The sequence below is a fragment of the Homo sapiens genome, chromosome 11 (genome assembly GCF_000001405.40).
Source record: "Homo sapiens chromosome 11, GRCh38.p14 Primary Assembly".
In the NCBI taxonomy this organism is placed as follows: domain Eukaryota; kingdom Metazoa; phylum Chordata; class Mammalia; order Primates; family Hominidae; genus Homo; species Homo sapiens.
In genome coordinates, this window is record NC_000011.10 from 48,014,462 (window position 1) to 48,034,528 (window position 20,067).

General features: G+C 46.9%; 1 protein-coding gene across 4 annotated transcripts in view, besides 4 other annotated features; it reads left to right on the forward strand.

Moving 5' to 3' along the window:
* Positions 1-20,067, forward strand: part of PTPRJ (protein tyrosine phosphatase receptor type J) — a 190,281-nt gene that overhangs the window by 33,903 nt on the left and 136,311 nt on the right. The window lies entirely within an intron of this gene.
* Positions 4,915-4,964: a silencer, noted in NCBI's record as "silent region_3341". NCBI's record gives its function as "represses an Ori minimal core promoter by ATAC-STARR-seq in GM12878 lymphoblastoid cells {active_cell/tissue: GM12878}" and the evidence as "EXISTENCE:reporter gene assay evidence [ECO:0000049][PMID:35858748]".
* Positions 6,045-6,104: an enhancer, noted in NCBI's record as "active region_4713". NCBI's record gives its function as "activates an Ori minimal core promoter by ATAC-STARR-seq in GM12878 lymphoblastoid cells {active_cell/tissue: GM12878}" and the evidence as "EXISTENCE:reporter gene assay evidence [ECO:0000049][PMID:35858748]".
* Positions 14,119-14,693: an enhancer, noted in NCBI's record as "H3K4me1 hESC enhancer chr11:48050132-48050706 (GRCh37/hg19 assembly coordinates)". NCBI's record gives its function as "activates a minimal SCP1, AML or CMV promoter by ChIP-STARR-seq in primed H9 embryonic stem cells {active_cell/tissue: H9 hESC(primed)}" and the evidence as "EXISTENCE:reporter gene assay evidence [ECO:0000049][PMID:30033119]".
* Positions 17,216-17,285: a silencer, noted in NCBI's record as "silent region_3342". NCBI's record gives its function as "represses an Ori minimal core promoter by ATAC-STARR-seq in GM12878 lymphoblastoid cells {active_cell/tissue: GM12878}" and the evidence as "EXISTENCE:reporter gene assay evidence [ECO:0000049][PMID:35858748]".

Sequence of the window (20,067 nt, forward strand, 5' to 3'; positions counted from 1 at the left end):
GGAAATTCATTTATTCAAAAAATATTTGTTGAGCATCTGTTATGTGCTAGTGACTGCTCCAGGTGCTTGGGATACAGCAGTGACCACCTCCAACCAAGATCCCGCTTTCAAGAACTTCCATTCTAGCAGAAGTGATGAACTCATTTTTATGGAGCACCTACTGTGTATTAGGCATGTGAGTTATCACACATTATCTGCTTTACCCCTCACAACAGCCTGGTGAGGTAGATGGACTATTTTATTTTATTTTATTTTATGACAGTGTTTCACTCTTGTTACCCAGGCTGGAGTACAGTGGCGCAATCTCGGCTCACTGCAACCTCCAGCCTCCACCAGGTTCAAGCGATTCTCCTGCCTCAGCCTCTCGAGTAGCTGGGATTACAGGCATGCGCCACCATGCCCGGCTAATTTTTTTGTAGTTTTTAGTACAAATGGGGTTTCACCATGTTGGCTAGGCTGGTCTCGAGCTCCTGACCTCAGGTGATCTGCCTGCCTTGGCCTCCCAAAGTGGTGGGATTACAGGTGTGAGCCACTGTCCCAGGCCAGATGGACCATTTTAAAGATTAGGTAACTGAGCTCTAGGGGTCAAGAGACTTGGCCACTTTGGCAGCTGCATTGTCGTTTTTGGATTATGTCATCAAATTGCAAGGGGAGGTGGTGAAATAAGGAATTTCTGCAACAGAAATTGGAGTCTGCGGTGGGGATGCTGCAGGCCTTAGCTGCTGTATCACTGTGTCCGTTTATGAAGGCCCGATGGAGAAGAGGCTCTGAATCAGGCCGGGAAAGAGGTATTTCTCTGGAACAACTGGTTTGTTTCTGTGTTATGGGCACCGAGAAGCGTGTGGCTCATCATGTTTTCCTTTGGCTTTGGTTACTAAGCACCTGAGAGCTAGATTTGTGGCCCATCTTGACACTTCTGCAGGATGGGACCATATGGCATGCATTTCTATGTGCTGATCTTACCCCAACCTCCCGCCCTCCATCCCGCTTTATTATTTTCTCTATACTCATTTTTGCCTTGCCTGGTTCTCTTGTTTGTTTTATTCTTTTGTGTTATTTGTATTATTCTAAACCACCACATATACTTGGTGGGATGGAGCTGGGTATAGTTAAATTTTAAAAATAATGGTGAGGGCCAGGTGTGGTGGTTTATGCCTGTAATCCCAGCACTTTGGGAGGCTGAGGCAGGTGGATCACTTGAGGTCAGGAGTTCAAGACCAGTGTGGCCAGCATGGTGAAATTAGCCGAGTATGGTAGCGTGCACCTGTAATCCCAGCTACTCGGGAGGCTGAGGCAGGAGAATCCCTTGAACCTGGTGGAGGTCGGAGGTTGCAGTGAGCCAAGATCATGCCACTGCACTCCAGCCTGGGCAACAGAGTGAGACTCTGTCTCAAAAAAAAAAAAAAAAAAAAAAGAAATAATACTAATGATGAGATGACTTGCATAAGATCCCCCAGCTACTCTGTGGGGAAGTCGGGCTCCAAGCCAGCTCTCCTGGCCCCACCCTCTTTCCAACATACTCAGTGCCTTTCTGGATTAGGATCCACTGCAAGGTTCCTTTGCAGTGGGAGCCAGGTCTGTTTGGCTTTTGCAGCCATTGTGTTATGGGTTCCAGTGGAAGCTGGGCTGGCTGGATTGGAGGTGTTGAGGGGCTTGGATTGACCTAAGTGTCACCTGTGGCTCAAGCAAGGCTCTGGACTGTGGATTCCTTCTTGGTGAGGGCTGTTCAGCCTCACCCAGGAGAGAACCCATACCTCTGCTTCTTGCTTGTGAGGCATCAGGTTTCAAGCAGGGGTCAGACCAGATGAGCACTGTTATGTTCTTCACAGCTGCTTCCCACTCGTTATCCTCATAGTAGCCCAGGGTAGAAAAGGAGAGGATGAGTGGGTGGTATTGATGAAGAAACGGAGACCTACAGAGGTGAAATGACTTCACCCACCAGGTGATGGCTGAGTCTGCAACCCAACAAAAAACTCTGGCTTGCTGGCATTTCTCAGGCCAGACAGTTCCAATGTGAACCCACGGTACCTTCTGCGGGAGAAAAGGTGGCATGGGAAGCAGGAAGAGCCTAGGATTTGGGAGTTGGATGCCATGGACTTGAGTCCTGGCCACTACTATGTGCATATGGGGAAGTCACTTTTCTGAGCCTCAGCCGCCTCATCTTTAAAATGTGGGCCCTAATTTCTGCCCTGCCAGCCTCACAGGATGGTCATGAGAAACTGAATGAGAAGATGAACATGGAAGCCTTTTGTCTGGCATTAACCACATGTGCCTGTGTGCTGGGTTCTGTCTGCATTGTGCTAATGATGGTGGTGATGGTATTAATAGTAATAATAGTGAACATTTAAGGAACACTGCCTCCTATAATAGTCACCATGGTAAACTTTACATACATTATCTTAATGAATGCAGAAAACAAGCAGATGAGCAGGGACCGTCTATTATTTTCCCATTTATTTTTGTTTATTTTTAATTTTTTTTTTGTAGAGACAGGGTCTCATGTTGTGGCCCAGGTCTTGAGCTCCTGGGCTCAAGCAATCCTCCCACCTCGGTTCCCCAAAGTGCCAGGATCACAGGTGTGAGTTACCTCACCTGGCTGTATTTTCCCATTTTTACAAGTGGAAACAGGGGGTTCAAAAAAGTTTATGTAATTTGCTTAAGGTTGTAGAGATGTTACATAGTGGAGTCCAGATTTGATCCCAAGTAGGTGACCCTACTGTGGTATCACTGCTATCAGATTGGAAACAGCAGAAGTCTAGGACCTTTTTGGTTTGGTTGATGACATCTGTGCACATCATTCTGGTAGGTAGGGGCCATCTGGGGGCAGGAAGTTGGGTGTGGGTAGGGGTTGGCCCTGGAGAGGCAATAGAAGCTGGGGCTTGGCTGGATAACAAGCCTGGCACACTGAGTTTGTCTCTGAGGTTTAGTTTCTCACCTGTAAGATGATGATATAATAATGTGCCTCATGGGATTAAAGAAAATAAGAGATGCCTAGATACTTATACATTGCTATAAAAATGTCTGTGTTATAAGAGTGACATGGCATTCCACAAAATGCAGTGTAGATGTAAATTAGTTGGAATGGTGACCTCACCCCTGCTAGGTAGCACTGGCTTATGTCCCACCTGAGAGTAGTAGCATCTGAGGGCTAGCCACACTGAACAAGCCACACACCTGACCTCAGCATCCTCTTCTGTGAGGGGAATGCTCTCTGCTCTTCTACCTGCATGCACCGTGTTTGTGGAAGTGCTCTGTGTAGGACAGGGAAAGCACCTTGCAGAGAGCAAGGGCCCACTGGCTGCAGAGAGCCTGGTGGGTGATGGACCAGAGATAAGGGTGAGGGACAGTTTAGAGTGTCACAGTTTCTCATAGAGCTTTGGGCAGTGACACCAGTATTAGTCTCAGGACCATCATTGACTCCTGGTTAGTTTTTCTGTTTTCAAAACACTTTATCAGCTGTAAAGCACTTAAAAATGTAAATTAGTTCCTGCAAAAACAAAATGCACAAAAAATGATGGCTCTGCCAGGCTGGGTTGGGAGATGAATGTGTATGCATGTGTGAATGGATTCATTTCTGATGATAAAAATACTTTATGCTTATTTATGTGAAACTTGGAAAATAGAGGAAAAGTATAAAATTGAAACTAAAAGTCATCCATAATCCTTCTAAGTAGCTTTATCATTTAATGTTTTAGTATATTTCCTTCCTGTTTTTTTTTTTTTCCTTAATTCTGGGTGTATGCAAAGGATTTTGTAACCCTTTACATTCTGGAAACTGTTCAACATGACTTCTTTTTTTTTTCTTTCAACCAATTTGTGGAGAGTCCATTTTGCAAAGCCTTAGCACAGTGCCAAGCACAAGCTACACACCCGGGATGCTGCTGAATGCAGATGAGAGCATGCCAGCTCTGCTGAAGTTGGGGGCTGGGGGCAGTGGATGGCTGTGAGTGGTGTGAAGCCCCGGGCCACAGTGAAGACCCTGGAATGGCTGAGAGACTGGGATTCCAGGAGACCGAGGTTTGAGGGGAGGCTTTTCATTGTTTGATTAGCTCTTTTTTTCTTACCACATGTAAGTCATCATAATACTTAAAAAATTGCTGTAAAAAGCAGCTAATTAAAAATATAAATACAGTCTTTTTGGAGACTAGAAACAGTCACAAGAGAAGCAGTTTCAGTGAGAACCAGATCCTTTGTCAGTGTCAGCGAGGGGGAGGGGCGTCGGGGCCCAGCCAGCAAATCCTTCCCTCCGAACTGGGGGTGCGGAATGTGGCACTCCCTTTAGTTAGACTTGATGAGCTTTGGATTTGAGTAAGTGACAGCCCCTTTTATTTCCTGCTTTGTTCTCTCCCAGGTACCAGTTGACCACAGTTTTCATTCATGCAAATGGAAGCTGACAGCTGCCCAGGGAGGGTTAGATACCTGGGAGGATAGAGCAGAGGCCCTCCTTCTCCCCGACCCCTCGCCTCTGCAGGCTGGTGGGGAGGGGGGCAGGGGAGTCGAGTTACCCTCTCTCCACGCTTTCTTCTTGTGTATGTGTGCGTGTACGTGCGTGTGTGTGTTGTGTGTGTGTGTCTTGGGGGATGGAGAACCCCTCTCAGGAGGGCCTGTGGAAAGGCTGGGGTAAGTGGAGTGAGCCCGTGGGTCCTGCCCTTCCAGGCTGCCAAGAGTTTAAGTTGCTGCCTCCCGGTCTCTGTGCCCTTTTCCTGCCTGTGGAAGGCCCTCTCTCTGTTTAGGAACGTGGATGTGGCAGGGGCTGGGCGGGCACTTGGCCTTTATAACAACAGAAGAGGATTTTCAGTGACGAGGAAGCATCCCGCCCTTCTGGTTCCCTGTCTTCCACCTGGCCCCACTGCGACAGCCTCTCCAGGCCTCTGACTTCACTAGAATCTGCCCCTCCACCCCACCTTCCCCCGAACCCCACCTCCTTTCTCTGAGCCTGAGAGGAGTTAATTGTGTTAGAGTGCACTGAGAAACCTCCAGGAAGGGGCCCTAGTCCCTGTGTTGCCTGTTCAGCAATCACATTTGCTCACGTCTAGAAAGTACAATATAATGACTCAGGTTAAGGGGTGAAAAAATGTGGTGGACATTTTGCCAGGGTACTGTGTTAACTGTTCCAAGGTATCACCCTGTGTGAGACTCAGGAACATTCAGTGTTTTGGTTTCCCCCCTATTGTACTGAATGCCGGCAGCTTTCCCCTTCTAATTATTTATCTTAATAATTTGAGGAAAGTTGATTTGCTTTTTAAAAACTGGCATCCAAGCGTACCCTATCGCACTGCACACAGCTGAGAGATTAAGGCAGTTCTTTAGAATTCCTAGTCCGTGTTGTGTACACAGCGATAGGCTGGGGTAGTGGTTCTGGGTGCAACTGGGGACAGGCGAGGAACCATAAATTTGGCAGGAAAGATTTGTGTTGGTACCCTGTTATATTTGCTTTGCATCACATATTGTTTAAAAAGAGCGATATTTTCGTTAAAGGAAAAGGAACTGTGTATTTGAGATAAGAAGTAGAATAAAATGAAATGAATAGTTGGGTTTCGTCCTGTGGCCTTCAAAATGGCGTTATTTCTGAGATCCCTGTTTCTATGCTGTTCCAGTATTTATACGGAACTTATAAAATACAAAGTATAGGCATGTCCCGAGATCCTGGCGAGGCTGTAATTTATAGTGTTGTTCTTTTTCTTTTGTTTTACAGAGCTGAGTTTGGTGAAACTTCAGGAGGTTTTAGCTAGTGGCGATCCAAAGACATTAAATATTGCTTTGTGGGTACGTCTCCACCTTGCGTCTTACTTGGTGACTGTTCAGTGGTAGGCAAATGTCAGAACCCAGTATGCAAATGTGGAAGTGGACAGATTTGAGTCAGTTATCTCAGCTGGTGTTATGAAATACGGAAATTTTTGGCGTTGGTGGTGGAGGGCGTTGGCATAGGAGGCGTGAATGCTCTTTGTTTCTTGCTGTTATGGGAGTATCTCTTGATTGCCCCATCATCTTGTTTGGTGTGGCCCCGTTTCCTTCTAGAAGTTGAGTTCCCTGGGCTTGTGAGAACCCTTGTACATCTGCCTCCATTAAACTCACATTTGGAGATCTCGTAAATGAACGCAGTGCAGTCCGGGGGCAGAGTGAAGGCTCAGACTGCAGCCGGACATGGCTCAGTTACCCTAGGTGGGTTAGCAGCTGAGCAGGTACTGGTCTCAAAACCCTCTGAAGCGAAGCTGCCTGTCGATTCCACAGTTGCCAGCTTCCAGCATGGAGCTTCTGGAAGTATCACGGACTGAGTTGGGTCCCAATGCTGGATGTCCCTACTCTTCCTCCTGCCCCTCCCACGTTTGGATGGGCAAATGCACTAAGAACAGCCCGTGGGCAAGTGAATGAAACCAAAAAGCAGCAAGGGATTTGGACAGTCCACCTCAGAGTATCTGACTTTATTTTGAGGGGCATGTGTCAGAGTTGGGTGAAGAAAGAGATTCTCAGATGGAGATAGAGAAAGATCCCCAAAAGGGCAGGCTGGCTACCAGTGATTTATTTTTATTTTTCTTACTTTTTTAAGAGAATGCAGGGCATTTTACTCTTCTGTGGTAGGAGAGTAGACTGGCCACAGCCCAGCCCAGAACCCTTAACAAAAGGTTAAGCTGCTGGGCATGGTGGCTCACGCCTGTAATCTCAGCACTTTGGGAGGCAGAGATGGGTGGATCACCTGAGGTCAGGAGTTTGAGACCAGCCTGTCCAACATGGTGAAACCCTGTCTCTACTAAAAATACAAAAATTAGCCGGGCGTGTTGGCATGTGCCTGTAATCCCAGCTACTGGGGAGGCTGAGGCAGGAGAATCGCTTGAACCCAGGAGGCGGAGGTTGCAGTGAGCCAAGATCACGCCATTGCACTCCAGCCTGGGCGGCAAGAGCAAGACTCCGTCCCTAAAATAAATAAATAAATAAATAAATAAATAAATAAATAAATAAATAAAATAAAATAAAATAAATAAAAAAAGAGGTTAAGGTTTATACGCAGGCCATTTCTAATAGATGTTATGGAAGCCCCAGGTTTTGGGGCATCAGGGTTGGAAAGGAAGCCAAAAATGGGTGTGTCCAAAGGACAGATGCATTGAGAATGGGTTGTAAAATTTCAGCCATTGTGTAGATTAACCAGCACGGCACCCTGCCCCTCAGCCATTGTGTAGATTAAGGAGCACTGCACCCTGCCCCTCCTCCCCCAAGCATGCAGCACCTGAGAAAGAAATCTGACAAAGATGCTTTAATATGAGTCTAGCGCTTTGAGCCTTTCATTGTCATCTCCAGTGCAATTGTCTGTGGGTTTTGTTTTGTTTTGTTTTGTTTTTTCATTTTTATTGGACTTTGCTTTGCCTTTTAAGGGAAACTCTGGATGATATACTTCATTATTTCACTTGTCAGATGGTTAGTAATATGGTATTGCCATTCCTGACCTAAGGCAGCAAGTGATTCCTTCTGGCAAACTCTTTAAGAAACATGGGCATGGAGCCTGGCTGCCTGAGTTCAAACCCCTGCTCTGCTGCTTACCAGTTGGGTGACCTTGGTCAAGTTACTTAATCTCCGTGCCTCAATTTCCTACTCTGTAAAATGGAGATAATAATAGAACCTGTGTCATTACATTATTGTGGGAATTAAATGTGTTAGTCTACGAAGAGGGGTGCCTCAGGCCCATGGTAAATTTTATGTAAGTGTTGGTTGTATATAAGATGATGAAGTCCGGGCGCGGTGGCTCATGCCTGTAAATCCTAGCACTTTGGGAGGCCGAGGCAGGCAGATCACCTGAGGTCAGGAGTTCGAGACCAGCCTGGCCAACATGGAGAAACCCCGTCTCTACTAAAAATACAAAATTAGCCAGGCCTGGTGGTGCATGCCTGTAATCCCAGTTACTCAGGAGGCTGAGGCAGGAGAATCGCTTGAACCTGGGAGGCAGAGGTTGCAGCGAGCCGAGATCGTGCCATTGCATTCCAGCCTGAGTAACACGAGCAAAACTCCATCTCAAGAAAAAAAAAAAAAATTAAGATGATGAAGATGCAGCGTGGGGCCATGAGAAGAGTCCTGGTCTGGTGAGTTTGGAAACCTGGCTTCTGGCCTGTTTCTAACACTGTATGTCCTTGGGCCAGACCCTTTCCCCTGGGGTGCTGATTTCACACCTGTAAAATGAAGAAGTTTGACTTGCACAGTGCTTTTCTTAGACTGTGGTAAGGGGTGGATGTGGGGGTAGTGCCAAGACCAAGTGAAAGAGGCTTCTGGACCTCCATCCTTGCTTCAGCCAGAGCAGCGTGGGTTCATTTCATTTTTGGATTTTGGTTTGTGGGAAGAAAGGGTTCTCTTGCCGGTGTGTGTGTTTCTGATAAACAAAGAAGTGTGGAAGTGGCTGAATGAGATGACCCAAGGACTCTTTCTGGGAAGATGCAGGAGGAAGTAGGTGAGCTGAGGGGAAGCTGGTGGGGATAGGCCTGGTGGGGCCTGGGGAGAAGGATTTGAAGGCTCAAGTCACACGGTGCAGGATGGGACTCAATATAGGGTGGGATAGGGCGGTGGGTAAAAGCCGTTACAATTTTGTCCAAATGGTATGGGCTGATTTACTTATTAGGGAGGTACAAATGGCTTCGTGTTATAAAGTGTCAAGATCCTTATTTGGATAAGGCAACCAGAGTGTAGACGAGAGAGTAAGAGTAAGAAAACAAGGAGAAAAATGAGTGTCTTAAGGATGTAGAAATTTAGTTTGCTGGAAGTCTCTGCAGCCTGAACAAAACAGCTGTTAGGTTTGCCAGAACTTAAACCAGAGGGTGCCTGCCAGTGGTTCATATTCTTGCTACCTCTTCCTCCTCTTGTCTTGTTTTTCCTTTCCATTCTAATAATCACGATGAGTTTCCCTGACATGCACGCCCCTTCATTCATTTGTATGATCACTTAGAGATGAGGAGCTGCCTTGCCAGGTAGAAAAACCATTCTCAGGATGAATCTTTGGCTTTCTGAATCAGAGTTTTCTTTGGGTTTTAGAACTTCATTCTTATTAAAGTGGGAATTTACCGGCCGGGTGCGGTGGCTCATGCCTGTAATCCCAGCACTTTGGGAGGCCAAGGCAGGCCAATCGTGAGGTCAGGAGTTCGAGACCACCCTAGCCAATATGGTGAAACCCCGTCTCTACTAAAAATACAAAAATTAGCTGGGTGTGGTGGTGCGCGCCTGTAGTCCCAGCTACTTGTGAGGCTGAGGTAGGAGAATCACTTGAACCTGGAAGGCAAAGATTGCAGTGAGCCGAGATCACACCATTGTACTCCAGCCTAGGCGACAGAGTGAGACTCGGACTCAAAAATAAATAAATAAATAAATAAATAAATAAATAAATAAATAAATTGGAATTTAATATCTCTTATCATTTCTTCAATTCCAGTTTTTATTAGATCCACAACTTTTTTGGTCAAAACCAGAATTTTGATTATGTGTGCCATCCTAGGCTACCTCACCATCCAAAAATCCTCTTGGAAAACCCCACGCTTATCAGGAAAAGGAGATGGAAGTGAAAAAATAAAAATATATATAAAAAAAGGAAAACCTAGTGTTAGCACCCCTTATCCAGCAGGCCCCCCACCTGGACCCCCACCTGTATTCACATTCCTCCCACACTTACAGTCAGTGGCTTCATTAATCTCTAAGGTTCCATGTTCTGCTCCCCAAATAGACTGTTTGCTCATTGAAGACAGGCACCACACTTACATTTTTTTTCTTTCTTTCTTTTTGTTTTGAGATGGAGTCTCACTCTGACGACCAGGCTGGAGTGCAATGGCGTGATCTTTGCTTATTTCAACCTCCGCCTCCTGTGTTCAAGGAATTCTCCTGTCTCAGCCTCCCGAGTAGCTGGGACTACAGACGCATGCCACCACAGCCGGCTAATTTTTGTATTTTTACTACAGGCAGGGTTTCACCATATTGGTCGGGCTGGTCTCGAACTCCTGACCTCAAGTGATCCACCTGCCTTGCCCTTCCAAAGTGCTGGGATTACAGGCGTGAGCCACTGTGCCTGGTCTTATATTTCTTTTCTATTTTTCTACCCTGATCAACCTTTTCTTTTCTATCTCTCTCACTGTTTCTACGATCAAAGTAGTGGAGTCAGTTTCCTTGCATCTGTCCCAAGCAGCCGTTGCTAATGGGAATGAGTGTCAGGCACTGTACATCAGCCCTGTTTTGAAACTCTGTGCCTGCTGCCTCATTGACTAGCTGGAGAGTGTTGAACATTTGGTTGTAGAATGTATGTGGATTGCTGAGTTTCACGCATGAGCTGTGTTGTCATTTCATTCATTCTGAGTGGCATCTGCGCCAGGGCTACCTGGAGTTTTTCCAGCTCCCCAGGCCTAGCAAAGGCAGGGATCCTGTCTCATTCAGCTGCATTTCTTGAGCTGTGCTTAGAAGGCCTGCCACACAGTAGGGAATCAGGAACAGTCGCGTTTACAGAGCTCTCGGGTGATAGAAGGGAAAGTAAAGGTATATTAAATTTCTTCTAGGCTTGCTGCCTAATCCCCTAAGGGGCCTTCTCATTTCTTTCAGCAGTGCCATCTGGCAGGCCTGAGAGTATATGGGAATAAGTGGGGTGCTGGATCTTGTGGGCAGGCTATGGGATCTGGGAAAGGGGTTAGCACCTGGGCCTGGAGGGACCTGGAATCTAGGGGGGGCATACATCTAAGCTAAATGTGGCTGTGGCTTGCAAACTCAGAGGCCTTTCGGGCAGCCTGGTGAAATGATAAATGGGCAGTTGCTGTTTATTCTCAGTCCTAGAGATTAAAAAGAGGTGCCCCCATTGGAAACTGGAGGTTACATGTTCTACCCAAAGGGAGCAGCTGCCAGTCGGCTTCTTGCGATGTGAAAGTACAGCCCCAGAAAACCCAGGTTAAGTGATGTCCCCTAATTTTTAAAAGTTGGCAACCAATTCAACTATAAAATCATGCCTGCTGGCCTCTGAGCAGTAGGCAGGGCTGGTGTATGCCGGAGGCCACCAGGGGACATAACACCTGCCATAGGGTCAGAATAGGTGGGTGTTAGTCACCATCCAGATGGTCAGATACCGGAATTGCCACAGAAATGAACATGACATGCAGAGCAGGCAGAGCAGGTGCCAAAAGTTGGTATCAAGGAGGCGAAGGTCAAGTTCTTTGCCCACCAGAAAGCCTTCTGTTCCTTGTCTCCTTCCCTTCCTGCACCTCCAAGGACTCTCCACTGCTCCCTACAGCTTAAGTCCAAATTTCCCTGTCTGGCATTCAAGGTCTTCCATACCTTCCTTACAAGTGCCCTTTAGGCGCTCTAAATGGCGCGTCAGCTCCTATGTGTGGCCTCAGCTTAGCAGTCCAGTGTTCCCTCCCCCTGAATCCCTCCAGACTGCCCAGGCTGCATCTGCCTCAGACAGCCGGGTGTTCCCAAGACATGCTGCACTTTCTTCCCTCTCTGATTTGCTCATGCTGCTCCTCTTCCTGGAATGCTCATCCCCCCAATTATGGAAATCCCACTCCCCACTCATCCTTCAAAAGGCTCTGGACAAAAGGCACATTCTCCCTGAAGTCGGCTACCCTCCCGACTCTGTAAATTTGGAATAAATCACATCTTTCAGCTTCTATAGCACTCACCCTGCATCTCCACCACAGCCCTTATGACATAGCTGTTGAGAAAGGTCTGTCTTCCTTGGTAGATGATGAGGTCATTGTGGAAGGTTCGAGTCTTACTTACTGTGTCCACAGCATTTGGCTCAGGGCAACAGTCAACAGAGGCTTAGTGACTTAGACACTTGATGGTAGAGTATGGAAAACTGATTCTCATGAGGAAGGTGCTTAAGGTCTTTGGTAAGCCTGGGAAAGGGGCAGTTGGCTGGAACAGAGGGTGTGAGAGGAGCAGGTAAAGCTGGATCCAGCTCTCTTTCAGCCCAAGGCAATACCTAAAACCCTATCTCTGACTTGGAAAGGCAGTATCCTGCTGTCTTCCTGCTGTGGCCATGAGCCTCACTGGGGCTTGACTTGAATGTTAGGACTTTTTTTTTTTTTTTGAGACGGAGTTTCGCTCTTATTGCCCAGGCTGGAGTGCAATGGTGCGATCTTGGCTCACCGCAACCTCTGCCTCCCAAGTAGCTGGGATTACAGGCGCCCGCCACCATGCCCAGCTAATTTTTGTATTTTTAGTAGACATAGGGTTTCACTGTGTTAGCCAGGATGGTCTCCATCTCCTGACCTTGTGATCCGCCTGCCTTAGCCTCCCAAAGTGCTGGGATTACAGGTGTGAGCCACCGTGCCTGGCCATGAGTAGGTTCTTTAGTGGTGATTTGTGAGATTTTGGTGCACCCATCACCTGAGCAGTATACACTGAACCCAATTTGTGGCCTTTTATCCCTCACCTGCTTCCCACCCTTTCCCTCTGAGTCCCCGAAGTCCACTGTGTCATTCTTAATGCCTTTGCATGAGAGGGAAGGCTTTTTAAAGGGCCCTTTTCAAGGTTTGAAATAAGGCTCCATGACAATGGCCTGATTTGGATGGGTCTTGGAATACCCTTTTTTTTTTTTTTTTTTTTTTTTTTGAGACGGCGTCTCGCTTTGTTGCCCAGGCTGGATTGCAGTGGCGCGATCTCAGCTCACTGCAAGCTCTGCCTCCCAGGTTCACGCCATTCTCCTGCCTCAGCCTCCAGGGTAGCTGGGACTGCAAGCACCTGCCACCGCGCCCAGCTAATTTTTTTTTGTATTTTTAATAGAGATGGGGTTTCACCGTGTTAGCCAGGATGGTCTTGATCTCCTGACCTTGTCATCCGCATGCCTCGGCCTCCCAAAGTGCTGGGATTACAGGCATGAGCCACCGCGCCCGGCCCGGAATACCCTTAAAATATAGCCAGAAAGGGCTGAGGATGGGTAAGAACCCAGGATATAGAGTCTTCCCATAAAAGGGAGGGCCATCATGCAAGATGAACAACTTGGTCCTGATATGGATGGGGCTAGAATCTCCGTATTGTTGCTAATAAGGTGGAACTGAATCCCCTCCCTGTTCCCCAACACAATAAAACTTCAGTGTCGTCTGGGTGCAGTGACTCACGCCTGTAATCCCAGCACTTTGGGAGGCTGAGGCAGGTGGATCACCTGAGGTCAGGAGTTCGAGACCAGCCCGGCCAGTGTGATGAAACCCTGTCTCTACTAAAAATACAAAAAATTAGCTGGGCATGGTGGCACATGCCTGTAGTTCCAGCTGCTCAGGAGGCTGAGGCGGGAGAATTGTTTGAACCTGGCAGGTGGAGGTGCAGTGAGCAGAGATCATGCCACTGCACTCTGGCCTGGGCAACAGAGTGAGACTCTGTCTCCAAAAAAAAAAAAAAAAAAAAAAAAAAAAAAATCTTCAGTGCAGGGCCTGTCTGCTCTCCAGGGAAGGCTGCAGTATTGTCAGGTTTGTTTCTTTTTCCCCACAAAACTGCTTCGGAGAGCTCTTAGGTCCCAAGTTTGCCTGCATCCAGGGTCCAGATGCTTCCAGGGTCCAGATGCTTCCAGGGTCCAGGCAGTGAGTGGAAGTGAAGGAGGCTCCTCTAGTGAAAGAAAAAGGCATCCAGTGTTAATAGTATTTCTTCCCAGTTGCATGGGGCTTGCATATTAGAGATAAAGGAAACATCTTAGCTACTACTGAGCCATAAGTGGTCTCACCTTTCTTGAAACATAAGGCCGTCTTGGTTTGTTGTTCTGTTTTGTGCTTTTCACAGAGGCATGGACACTGAAAGACGTTTCTCTGACAGTGGAGATATAGGACTGAAGAGTGACATGGCTTGCAGAGCACTACCTGTCCCCCTAATCCACACTGTCCTCTCTCCTCATGGGCAGCCTGAGAATGTGGACCCAAGGTAGCCCATCATGCAGTTCTTCATGAAATCTGGAAATCTTGGCATTTCATGGGAAATCTCATCACTGCTAAAGTAGGCTTAGATTTGTTTTAAAACCTTGTGTGGGCTGGGTGCAGGGCATTTTACTCTTCTGTGGTAGGAGAGTAGACTGGCCACAGCCCAGCCCAGAATCCTTAACAAAAGGTTAAGCTGCTGGGCGTGGTGGCTCACACCTGTAATCCCAGCACTTTGGGAGGCTGAGGTGGGTGGCTCACCTGAGGTCAGGAGTTTGAGACCAGCCTGGCCAACGTGGTGAAACCCCGTCTCTACTAAAAATACAAAAATTAGCCAGGTGTGGTGGCGGGCACCCATAATCCCAGCTACTTAGGAGGCTGAGGCAGGAGAATTGCTTGAACCCAGGAGGCAGAGGTTGCAGTAAGCAGAGATTGTGCCACTGCACTCCAGCCTGGGCAACAAGAGTGAAACTCCGTCTCAAAAGCAAACAAACAAACAAAAAACCTTGTGTGGGTGAATCAAACACGTCTGCAAGCCTGATTCAGCCTGTAGCCCACCAGTTTGCAGCCTTTGTTTAGATCCGTAGTGGAGAAAGAGGTTAAAGCTACAAGTTAGGACCCCTGAAAATGAAAGATGGTTTGGAAGTGAATCTGAAGTAAATTGTCACTGTATGGTTTCAGACCGTTTTCTGGTAGTATGTGCTGTGTGACACAGGTTGTCCCTGTGTTGTGCAGTGGTTTTGAGCACAACATTGGCCCTAGGCCTGCAGTGTGGGGTGCAGGCCCTCTGCTGAGGGCTGCAGATGCTGCCGGGAGTGCAGTGGATGAGGTCCTGCCCGCACAGCCTCATTCGGCGTTGATACCCATGCCTGGAGGATGTGGGCTCATCTTCTTGGGTCAGGTGAGCCTCTTACACCTGTGTTCATTGCTTAGCTCTTTTGATGTCATTGCATATTGGTTCAATTACTTTTCCCTTTTCAGAGCCATGAATAATAACTATGATTTTGCTAGAGGGAAAAAATGAAATGATCAAGGTAATGCATTTACATGTTACATAAAATTCATATCATACAGAAAGGCAGAAGGAAAACAGGGAGAATTACTTGTTCCCTTTTCTCTCTTCCCCTCCCAATTCCTTTAACAGGAAGAATGTCTCACTAGTCATGTGATCTACAGCAAATCCTTTAACCTCTTCAAACCCGCATCTCTTATATGTTACAGGACAGTAATAAAACTTAACTCATATTATTGTTATTTTTTATTTAATGTGGATTAAGTTAGTTGGTATGAAATTCTCCAAATCCTATGCATATATAAAGGGTGCTCATAGAGCTTTTTTCTTCTTTTTTGTATATCCAGGATTTCTTTAGCGGTCTTTTGTAATTATAGTAAAAGCACTGAGGTTAGATTTATGGGTTTTTTTTGAGGAGGATAGACTGAATCCCTTTCCCGCCTCAAGGCTATAGTGGGTCGGCACAGTTTGTGTTTGCTAAACATATCTTTAGCTGCGTAAGAGAAAGAAGGAAAATAGTAAAGATGAACAGTACTGTTTTCTACTTGAAGTTCTAGTTGGCCCCCACTCCCTTCCATGTAGGAACCTTAGCTTGCTTTCCACACCCTCCCACCACTGGACTCACAAAGGCCCCTGATGAGTGCCTCCGGTAAGACAGGGGGAAATTTTTATCTTAATTAGAAAAAGGCTTAGTATCTTGATTGTATGTTCTCTGGAGCCAGTGATAGAGATAGTATAAGAAATTCTGGACATTCAAATGTAAAACAGATTAATTTGTAGGAATGTTGGATTTTTATCTGGACAGATGTTTTGTCTTTTATGGAGTTGGTTGGGATTAAGAAGTGGGGGCAGGGTCATGTTGGTATTTTATTTTTGCTTTGGGCTTATGTTACTTAGGATTAACTTTAGCTGTGTATAACAACAGCAACAAATCAGATTTATAGTCAGTTAACGGAGGCTTAAGTGATGTAAAGTTTTATTTCTCTCTCACATAGAAATTAGTTAGAGGTAGTAGTTTAGGGCTCTTAGAGGCCCCAGGCTGTCATATTCTACCTGCTTACACATGGCTTTCAGGATCTAGGTCACCTCACAGTCCATGATGGCTGCTGGGGCTCCATCCCCCTTGTCTGAGTCATATGTTGGCAGAAGGAGGAAAGGCACAGATCAAGAGGAGGCCTTTCAGCTGGGCGCGGTGGGTCACCTGAGGTCAGGAGTTCGAGACCAGCCTGGCCAGCATGGCGAAACACCATCTCTACTAGAAATACAAAATTTAGCCGGGCATGGTGGTGTGTGCCTGTAATCCCAGCTACTAGGGGAGCTGAGGCAGGAGGATCGCTTGAACCTGGGAGGTGGAGGTTGCAGTGAGCCGAGATTGTGCCACTGCACTGCAGCCTGGGCAACAGAGCGAGACTCTGTCTCAAAAATAAATAAATAAATAAATAAAATAATAAAGAGGAGGCCTTTCCTGCTGCATCAGCTCTCTCTGAGCAGCGTTCCTGGGAAGTTCCATGGAACACTTCTGCTTATCTCATTGGTCATAACTCAGTCAGATGCACACACTGAGCTGCAAGGGAGGCTGAGAAGTATAGTCTCTTAGTCCCAGATACAATATGTATAAAATTCAGAACAAGGGTCCTTTTACTAAGGAGGAGGAAGAGACTGGATGTTATGGATATGGGCAGCAAGCAGTGTTTTCAAAGTACTGAAACAGATTGTAGAACTTTGTAAACTGGCTGCCTTTCTACTCCTCTGCTCACCTCTAACCAAAGAGCCACCTAATTGTTCTGCATGGTGACCATTGCCTGTTAGATTCTTGGTGAATAGATTCCTAGCCTCATCTTTTGTTATTTTTATTTTTTTAATAAATGGTAGAATGAGGATGCAGGAAACTTGGAAAAGCAGAGTCAAAGTTCAACTAGCACAGGAGCAGAAGGTAAATTCTGTTGGCTTATAGAATGAGCCCAGACCCTGGTGTCAGAAGACCTGGGTCAGTTCTGGTCTGTCCTCTCCTGGGACTCAGTAAAGTCTCTTGGCTCTCTGAGCTTTCCACATCAGTAAGATGGGGAATGACAACCCTTATGGGACTGCAGTGAGGCTTAGCCAAGTTGGTGCTGTGGAAGGCCCTACTGGATTCCAAAGCATGATACAGATGATGAATACTTTATGTGGCTGAGGTGCTTCCAGCAGGCACGTGGGAAGCATCCATGTAAGATTGGGGTCATGCAAAATGGGGTGGGATCACATCGCGGGATGAAGCACTTGGATGCAAAGGCCTGTGTGGTCCAGCCTGAGTCTGGCTCAACACACAGGGTCGGATCCTGGCTGCGCTCCTTACTGCTGTATGTACAGATTTGGCTCAGAGGGAATGCAGGATTGGCAACATGCATCTAGTCTTTCTTGTGGTCTCCTGGTGCCTCTCATGGTGTGCTTATTCTTATTCTGCTACGGAGAGTGTGACTTAAGCATGTAATTTGCATATAGCGTGGCTCCTGAATGCAAGCCACTAACCCATTATTTTACTTAGTAAGTTCCAGTGTTGGGGCTTGGGGGATGGTGTGTCCTTTGCCAGTGAATGCTTATGTTGGTACATTTCAAGGGTTATTTTGCTTATGCACCCTCCCCACCCCCGTCAACGTTAGAGCTTAGCATCATATGAAAGGCAGTGTCCCTGTGACTGTATCATAGGGTTGATGAGGATGAAATGAAGTAACTGCAGGCAGTGTCCAGCCCAGTGCCCAGTGCTCTGTCCAGGCTCAGTGAGTGACCTTTGCTGCTGCTGCTGCTACTGCGTCCAGCTGGCTACATGGGGCTGGTGGCAGAGGGTGACTCAGTTCTCAGTGTGTCTTTTCCTGCCCCCTGCCAGGTTGCTTCCCCTAGCCTAGTTCCCTTTTTTTGTGAAATGCTCATCCCTCAGCTCTGGACTTCAATGTACTGTTGGTTTCAAAACCTTATGAAACACAACATCAATGGGGGAAGGGAGAAGAGAGAAGCTGAGAAGCCTAACCCAACTCTGACAGCTGAGCGGCTACAGAGGACTTCTCAGTTGGGCTTCAATACTTCTTAAGAACTTTCAAGTTAGGCCTCAGATGTGATTTTGTTTGCTGACTTTCTCTTTGCTACCTTGGCTTCTATTTAGTTAACAAATCTAGGCCGGGTGCGGTGGCTCACGCCTATAATCCCAGCACTTTGGGAGGTGGAGGCAGAGGTGGGTGGATCGCCTGAGGTCAGGAGTTCAAGACCAGCCTGACCAACAAGGAGAAACCCCATCTCTACTAAAAATACAGAATTAGTCGGGCGTGGTGGCACATGCCTGTAATCCCAGCTACTCGGGAGGCTGAAGCAGGAGAATTGCTTGAATCTGGGAGGCGGAGGTTGCAGTGAGCCAAGATCATGCCATTGCACTCCATCCTGGGCAACAAGAGCAAAACTCCATCTCAAAAAACAAAACAAAAACAACAAAAAACCCCAAATCTAATTCATTCATTCAGCGTGCACAATTTATTCAACACAGTTTGTTCCAAACACTGGGGATATGCCCCAAACAGACCAAGTTCCCTGTTTCATGGAGCTTACGTTTGGTGGAAGAGAGACAAATATAGAAACAAAAGTGTAGGCTGGGTGCAGTGGCTCACGCCTGTAATCTTAGCACTTTGGGAAGCCGAGGTGGGGAGATCACTTGAGCCCAGAAGTTCAAGATCGGCTTGGGCAACATAGTGAGACTCCGTCTCTATTAAAAAAAAAAAAACAAGTCTAACATCAGGTAGACTTCAGGGCTGTGAAAGAAGTGACATAGGGTAAGGGAATACAGCGTGTTGAGGGGATGGGTGCTATTTTCCAAGGAAAGCCCCTCCTGGTGGGGGGCCATAGGAAACAGCTGGTGCAAAGGCCTGGAAGACTCACTGGCATCTTTCTGGAATAGCAAGGATCAGCTTGGTGGGAAGTGGAATGAGCTGGGGGTGGAGTGGGGTGGGGTGGATTTTGGAGTCTGAGCTTGAGATACCTGCTTGGAGATGCTGAGCAGTCTGCAGGAACCAGGAGCCCGGAGCTGAGGGAGGACATGAAGGCTGGAATTGTAAGTTTGAGAGAAATCAGCTTTTTGAAGCTGTGGGACGGGGTAAGATCACCGTCATGTGAGAGGATGGGACTGGCCAGGTGGTGCATGTGTCCAGGCTCAGCGGATGTTCCTGGGATACAAGTACCTGTTCATCTTGTTGACATCTAATCTGTATCTGCGCATAGTGACCAAGGATAAGCCACTGAGCTGCTCCAAACGTGTGCTATGGGATGGATTAACTGTGTGGGTGTGGAAATCCCTCAGAATGATGAGACAGGGAGCAGTGGAGAGGAAGACAGTCGATCATTGATCGGTGAGCCTGTACTTGAGATCTGGCCTGGATAGTTGTGATGGTAGGTGGTACCCACAATGATGGCCCTTCAGGGGATTTGAAGATTGTGAAGGAGGACCAAGAGGAGCTGTTTGGACCACCTGTGATCCAAGGCGGGAACTAGGAAGACACCTACCGGAAGTCTTTGTGGATCTTTTGGGATTGGATTGGATTAGCAGATACAGAGCGTTTGACCTATAGTAACCAGCTGACTGTTCAGCAAACGCTTCACTTCCTAAAAGGCTTCTTCTTTCCAAGGCAAACTGGGGCATGTGAGGAACAGGAACTTACAAGAGCTTCTAGTCTGAACTCCAGGTGCTGACACTGTTAACAGTTGCTGAGTGGAGTCCTTCTCACTTGGGTGGAAAGTAACCTGTAAACTTGGCCCAAGTCTCCCTTTTCCTGTCCTTTGGCCCATGCTGTTCTGGTGCTAGATGTTGGCTCTGGCCTTTGCACTGACCATCTCCTCGAGATGGCACGTGGGGAGGATGTGCTGTGTTGAGAAGAACTTGGCTGGATAGGCAAAGACTTGAGCTAGAAAAAGAACAAGTGGTTATTCATTTGGTGCTTCCCTTTAACCAGGGCCTTTTTTTTTCTTTTATTTTAAAGGAAACCTTTAAGAAAGGAGGGCTCTCAGGCCTTTCTTAGAATTTAGGTCTCAGTTTTACATCATGGGATTCTGTTTTTCTTGGGTTTCCATTAGAAGATTAAATAACATAGTGGCTATGAAAGCATACTATAGATACTAGGAACTGTTGCTTTGATTGTGTTAAAGGATACCTCTATTCCCCAGGTCCTTTATTGATTCATCTTATTTTTA